The 7889-nt window shown below is 33.7% G+C and overlaps 1 annotated feature.

Annotated features, from left to right (window-relative positions):
* Positions 4868-6067: an enhancer, noted in NCBI's record as "BRD4-independent group 4 enhancer chr2:194444896-194446095 (GRCh37/hg19 assembly coordinates)". NCBI's record gives its function as "activates an origin of replication core promoter dependent on BRD2, P300/CBP, MED14 and CDK7 cofactors, and independent of BRD4, by STARR-seq in HCT116 cells {active_cell/tissue: HCT116}" and the evidence as "EXISTENCE:reporter gene assay evidence [ECO:0000049][PMID:35650434]".

A 7889-nucleotide genomic window follows, 5' to 3' on the forward strand; every position in this document is an offset into this window, starting at 1 on the left:
TTCAGGCTTCTCAGCCATGAGTATGGAACCAGCCATTGTGCTCCCTTTCCCCTAAGATGTCAAAGAAAACAGTCCAAGATCCCTTTATGATCTTCTGAACCTTTTCTTACTGTGTTAAAAACAAGATTGAAGCATCATCCTCTATTATGACTGCTATGAAAAGGGTCAGACTCACACTGTACTAGCAATGTCTTCCAAAAAAAATCCTCCCCATCTGATTTTTCAAAACTACTGCCTTTATACACTCAAAGGAGATAACCTAAATAATTGACAATTAATTTTTCACCACCTCTTTTCTCATCCCTTCCCAAGTCATCTGACAACTCATAGATGTTGGGGATCATAACATGAGACATCTGATATTGAGTCAGTAACAATCCCATTTGGTGTCCTAGTACAAAAATACAAAAAATCATAAGCAAAATGACAAGAGTACCATAGACAATGCTGACAAAGTCTTTAAATCATTTGCAATACTTTCTTAAATTAGCTCATTATTAATTTCCTGCCAGGAAATCATTGCCCTAAACAATGTATGTAATTCTGATATATGTCATTATTAACTCTATTTTGCTGACAGCTGAATGAATGGGTGATTTTTTTTCTTATTTTAGGACATAGGGAACTGTTTTAAACATTTATTTTGAAATAAAATGCACTGTATAATTATGTATAAAATGCATCATTCATTTCAGAATTAGTTTATCTTTTCAAGAGTTTTCTTGGGCTGCACAATTGATCATACATTTTTCATACTATTTTAGATTTGTACATTTTTGAATTTTGGTATAATTTAGTTCCAACTGTGTTAGAAAATGAATACCAAATACTATCTGGAGGCAAACTGAGGGGAAAAGTGCTTTATCTGATAAACTGAAATGTTAGGTCATTAATCATATACTTCCTCATCATATATTTTATCCCCAAGACAGATTATTTGCATTCAAGTCATACAAGGAGGCTTATAAGTCACAGCCGTATCTAAAGTGAGAAACCTGGGGATATTTAATATTCTTTAAGTCTTCATTCTAACCTCCTAGTTTTCTTTTATACATTCAAGAGGCTATAAAATTAGAAACAAACAAATAAACAAAATAACACTTTCTCAACTCCTTTGAAGCTAAGATTCTTCAGGTAGATGTACTCACATAAAACTTGCAGGCAGAAGAAAGAAATATGATCAAACGGGTTGGTGAAGAAGTTTTGGTCTTTTGGCTCTTTCTCTTCTGAAACCTCTGATAGATATTTTATACAGAATTATACAGTACATTATATTTCAAAATGAATGTTTTAAATGGATCTCTGTGTCCTGAAATAAGAAAAAAATTTCCATTCATTTAGCTGTCAGTGAAATAAAGTTAATAATGACTTATATACCATAATGACTTATCAGAGGTGACTACTTCCAGGTGGTTGCAAAACAAGTTTTATAACAATGGCACCAGTGTTTCTTCTGGCCATTTTCTGCCACACATAATCCAAGTCTTATTCTCTTGTCTATATATTTTAGTAAATTATTATTTTCTTAAACTAGCAAGAATGTATTCTATGTTGTCCAGCTAAGATAGCAGGGAGCAATGAAGACATTAGAGGCCTAGTACGATACAAATAAAGAAGTGATGGTTTCTGACTTGAATGGGCTTGAGGACTGTGCAATTCTAGTTAGAAGTTGAGAAGATTTGGTAAAGATTTTTTTTTTTTTTTATGTCGCCAAAGAAGATGGGTGGAAAGTTGTAAACCTTCTCTAGACATACAGGATACTATTATTTGACAGTTTAAGGGCCATAGGAAATTCAAGACTATGGAAAGGGCTGATTCCTTCTAATTAGGAAAGATGATAAAATGAAAATTTAAAGATTTGAAAAGACCAATGCAAGGCTTTGTCAGAGAATCAAGAAGCTTCTTTTATTTTTTTAAGTGCCATATATATATATTGCAGCAGCTCTGATTAATGAAAATTGGGTTTAAAATTTACATCCTTGCCAAGAGAAATATATAACTTTCTTTAGAAGAATGTGGAAACCTTGAGAGAATTTGGGTGACTCTAAGTAATGAGAACTTAATCCCACTAAAACTTCCTTGCCAGCAGAAGTAGTACATTTTTTCACCTCTTGATATATTGAGGGTGTTTCTTCCTTTTATAAAAGCACAGAAGAGCTTCAGCAAAAACAGTACTAAGAGGGAAGTTTATAGTAATAAATGTCTACATTTAAGAAAGATCTGAAATAAACAACTATAAGAAACTAAAAAAAGAACAAGTTACAAGCAAAATTAACAAAAGGAAGGAAATAATAAAGACCAGAACAGAAATAAACAAAATGGAGAATACAAAAACAATAGGAAAAAACCCCAGTAAAACAAAGAGTTGGTTCTCTGAAAGATGTGATTGAAAACCCCTTAACCAGTGGGAGAAAAAAAAAGAGAGAAGGCTGAAATAAAAGCAGAAACATAAGAGTAGTCATAATAAAGATGCCACAGGAATAAAAAGATAAGAAACTACCATGAAAATTACTTATTAGCAAATGGGACAACCTAGAATAAATGAACAAATTCCTAGAACCATAAAACCTGTCAAGCGTGAATCAAGAAGAAATAGAAAGCCTGAACAGACGAATAATAATAAAAAAAAAAGTCAGTAATTCAAAACCTCTCAAAAAAGAATAGCCCAGGGCAAGATGACTTCACAGGTGAATTCTAAAAAATACTGAAAGTATAATTAATGCCAAACCTTTGTATACTCTTCCCTCAAATAGAAGAAGATGGAATATATCCAAACTCATTTTATTAGGCAAGCATCACCCTAATAACAACACAAAGCAAAGACGACACAACAAAATAAAAGTACAGGCAAATACTCCTGATGAATATAGATGCAAAAATCCTCAACAAAATATTAGCAAACTGAATCCAATAGCACAATAAAAAGACCATACATCATGGCCAAGTAGGATTTACCCCTCCAACGCAAGGGCTGTTTAATATACACAAATCAATTAATAACTACACTACATTAACAGAAAGAAGGATTAAAATCACACAATCGTCTCAACAGAGAGAAAAAATGTTAGAAAAAATTTAAGACAATGTTGTGATTAAAAACTTTCAATAAATTAGGTATAGAAAAAACTTACAACACAATAAAGGTCATATATGAAATGCCCACAGTTCACATTATAGGCAATGGTGAAAAATTAAAAACTTTTTCTGTAAGACCTGGAATTAGGCAAGGTTGTTTATGCTTGCTACTTCTATTTAACATGGCACTAAAAGTCCTAGCCAAAGAAATTAGGCAAGAAAAAGAAATAAAAGGCATTCAAATTACAAAGGGAGATGTAAAATTATCTATATTCATAAATGACATAATATTACATGTAGAAAACCCTAAAGTGCCACCTCACATTGTTAAAACTAATGAATTTAGTAAAATGTAGGCTACACAATCAGTTGTATTTCTATACACTAACAAGAAACTGTCTGGAAAAGAAATCAAGACAATAATCCCATTTACAATAGCATCAAAAAGAAGAAAATACTCAGGAATAAAGTTAACCAATGGGGAGAAAGGCTTGTACACTGAATACCATAAAACAAAGAAAGAGTTTAAAGCAGACACATGTAAATGAAAAGATATCTTGTGTTCATTGGTTAGAAAAATTAAAATTGTGGGGGCCGGGCGCGGTGGCTCACGCCTGTAATCCCAGCACTTTGGGAGGCTGAGGCGGGTGGATCACCTGAGGTCAGGAGTTTGAGACTAGCCTCAACATGGAGAAACCCCGTCTCTACTAAAAATACAAAATTAGCCGGGCGTAGTGGTGGATGCCTGTAATCTCAGCTACTCGGGAGGCTGAGGCAGGAGAATTGCTTGAACCTGTAAGGCAGAGGTTGCGGTGAGCCGAGATTGCGCCATTGCACTCCAGCCTGGGCAACAAGAAAGAAACTCCGTCTCAAAAAAAAAAAAAAAAGAAAGAAAGAAAAGAGAAAATAAAAAGAAAAAAGAAAAATTAAAATTGTGACAGTGCCTTTAATACCGAAAGCAATCTACAGATTCATTGCAATCCCTATCAAAATACCAATGACATTTTCCCACAGATATATATATATATGAAATATATACATATTTATTATTGAATATATGATATTAAATGTATTTGTATATTTGATATTTTAATTTAATATATTAAAAAAATATGTATACATATACATGTGTCTTAAAGTTTATATGGAAACACAAACGTTGCTAGAGAGCCAAAGGAATTTTGAGCAAGAAAAATCCTGGAGGCATCTTAGTTTCTAATTGCGGAATATATTACAAATGGCATAAAATCAGACATATAGATCAATGGAACAAAATAGAGAATCTAGAAATAAATCCACACATAGTCCGTCAACTGATTTTTGACACGGGTGCGAAGAATACACAATGGGGAAAGAATAGTCTTTTCAAAAAATCATGGTGGGAAAACTGGAAATAGACAAAGAAGTGAAAAATACATTTGAACCTTTATTTTAAACCACACACAAAAATAAACTCAGAACAGACTACATATTTAAATATCAGATCTGAAACCATAAAACTCCTAAAATAAAACATAGGGGAAGACCTTGGCCTTGGCTTTGGCTATGATTTCATGAATATGACACCAAAAGCACAAGCAACATAAGTAAAAAGATACAAGTGGGATTACATAAAACTAAATGGTTTCTGCAGCGCAAAGGAAACAATCAACAAAATGAAAAAAACAATCTAAAAATTGGAAGAAATATTTGCAAATGATTTTTCCAATAAAGGGTATTTATTTCTCTTGCTTGCCAAATGTGACCCTAACTCTTTGGTCACTGTGAAATTTAAATCAGAATCTCAAAGAGATATCTGCACTCCCATGTCCATTGCAGCATTATTTACAATAGCCAAGATGTGGGGGCAACCTAAGAGTCCATCAAATGATAAATGGATAAAGAAAATGTGCTATATACAGAAAATGGAGTATTATTCACCTTTAAAAAATGTTGCCAGTCGGGCACGGTGGCTCACGCCTATAATCCCGGAACTTTGGGAAGCCTAGGCAGACGGATTGCTGAACTCAGGAGCTCGAGATCAGCCTGGGCAACACGGTGAAACACCGTCTCTACTAAAATACAAAAAATTAGCCGGGCGTGACAGCGTGCGCCTGTAGTCCCAGCTGCTCGGGAGGCTGAGGCAGGAGAATTGCTTGAACCCGGGAGGCGGAAGTTGCAGTGAGACGAGATGCTGCCACTGCACTTCAGCCTGGGTGACAGAGTGAGACTCCGTCTCCAAAAAGAAAAAGAAAGAAAAAAAATGTTGCCACATGCAACAACATGGAGCATTCTAGAGGACATTATGCTAAGTGAAATGAGCCAGACACAGAAGGACAAATACCACATTATCCCACTTATATGACGAATCTAAAGTAGTGAAACTCAGAAACAGAGTGGAATGGTGGTTGCCAGGGGATAGCGGGGGAGTGTCAGAATGGAAAGTACTGGTCAAATGCTACATAGTTTCGGTTATGCAAGACGAACAGATTCTAAAGCTCTAATGTACTGCATAGTGCCTATAGTTTACAATCCTGAATTCTATACCTAAAAATTTCTGAGAGGACAGATCTGATGCTATGTTCTTATCACAAAAAAAGAGTAACTTTTGCAGGCAATGGATATGTTTATGGCATTGATTGTGATGGTTTCATGGGTATATATTATCTGCAAACTAATCAAGTTATATACATTAAATATGTACGCTTTTAAATGTTAATCATACCTCTATGAAGCAATTTAATTAAAAATATCAGAGAAGGTCATTTTCACAATTCCACTATGGAGTTTCCAGGACCACAACTATAAAAATATCTTGAATAGATGTGAAGAGCCCTGATCTTATCAATTTGAATTACCTCCACTTCATTTCCACCTTAGTTTATATTTATACTCAAGGGCAGTTGTCATTGTATGAGGGTCAAGGGAAAGGAAAAAGAAAAAGAAAAATACACTCCTGAAGGGTTCCCATTCAAAAGGAATGCCATTTCTCCTGATGACTCTCTTCTTTCCTCCTCCAGAGCCTCTAGATCAATGCTTAGCGCCAGATTTCCACAGCTCCACTGCATCAATAACTTCAAAAACAAAGATCATAAAATAAAGAAATTCAACACTGCTAATTTAAAGCAGTAAGACTCTGAGAAATGTCTATGAAACCCTATACAGTTTGTGTTAGATAAATACAGGGAGGTAATTTTAAATTATACTAAATATATTGATATAAATGAACTGAAGAGAGATTTTTTTTTCAGTCAATATGCTAGTTCAAGCAGCTATAAATGGTGTAACTGGGTTTTTTTTAGATTTATGTTTTGATTAGTGTGCCTATAACCTTCATTCAGTAATGCCTATGGTAAATGAAGTTAAGATCTCAGAAATCCTTCAGTTTGATATAGCAAAATAATCTAAATATTTATGACAATGGTGTAAAATTAAACAGGTTCTTTAGACCTGCTCAGTTACTATCTAAATGCATTCCAGAAGAAGACATAGAACATGGTTTATTTATCCAAGGTATTTTGGAAAAAAAAATCTTTTGAAGAGAGATTCAGCATATTTGAAAAATGCTATAGTGTTTTTCTCTCTGCAATTTGAGAATGACAGTGGAATATGCTGCCTTTGAAGTGAAATTATTGATTTTCTTGGTAGTGTTGACACTCTAGTGTGACAAAAGCCAGGTAGCAACATGTCAACTGCAAAGGAAAGTTGTCATTAAGGGTAAGGTAAGTAATGAGAGTGATGTGATCAGCAGGGATGTTTTTGTCATGACTAATTGAAATTGTGGGTTTTAAAAACCAAAAGCGATGAACAACCCATTAAGTCCTGTTCTGTCTATATAGCAGAAAAACAAACAAACAAGAAAATCAACTATAAAACTGGTGAATGAAGGCCAGACATGAGACACAATGAGAGTCATGCTCTTTCACCTAATTCTAAGACTTGGTAGCATTAGACACATTGACACTATGCCTCTATCGGCATCATGTTTACCTTGTGTAAGAATTCTCTGGGTAAAAAAAAATGAAAGCCATAAGATGTTTCTTCGAAAAGGGCATCACATTGTCATAAAAATGTAATTTCTAGAAAAAAATCAGATGCATCTAGTCGTTCTCTATTTTTTCATCTCCCATTAAATTGGTTGTTGCCATTGCTGTCTTAATTTTCCTTCTCTCTGCTACTCTGCTGTGGATTTATAACACCTCCCCTGTCAGCTTCTGATATCTAGTAGCATTTATTTCACTTCCTTGCCAAATGTGACCCTAACTCTGTGGTCACAAACTGAATGTACCACCTATCCTCTGCCTTCTGGTAAAATGTCTGCTTGTTCCAAGTTTTCATATTTCTGAAATATATATGCACTTGTTTTATTCCCAGTGAAATTTTTGAAGGGCTTTCATTACATGACTTGAGAAGTATTTTCATGGGAAATATTGTTTAAAATGTTGATGAAAAATGTGGTGTAGAAGACATTAAATATACACCTTTCATGTCACTTTGCTTGGAATTTGACATATATAAATATATCCAAAAACACTGAGAGACTTGTTTTTCCCTGTTGTTTCTCATGATCTTCTCTTTGTTCAAATTTATAAAATGTGTTTTTTTAATTGTAAAAGTCATATAAGTAAAATTTGGAAGATATGGAAAAGTACAAAGCCAAAATCTATATATATTTTAAAAGAGTGTGTAAACTGTTTATTTCTCTAATGTAATTATTACATGCATATATAATATAAAGGTATATACATATACATATATACAAATATATATATTATGTAAGCAAGTAAAAATTACACTTTACATGTAGTATTATATGTGTTATTGGCCTTTTAAAC

The sequence above is a fragment of the Homo sapiens genome, chromosome 2 (genome assembly GCF_000001405.40).
Source record: "Homo sapiens chromosome 2, GRCh38.p14 Primary Assembly".
Taxonomy (NCBI): Eukaryota; Metazoa; Chordata; class Mammalia; order Primates; family Hominidae; genus Homo; species Homo sapiens.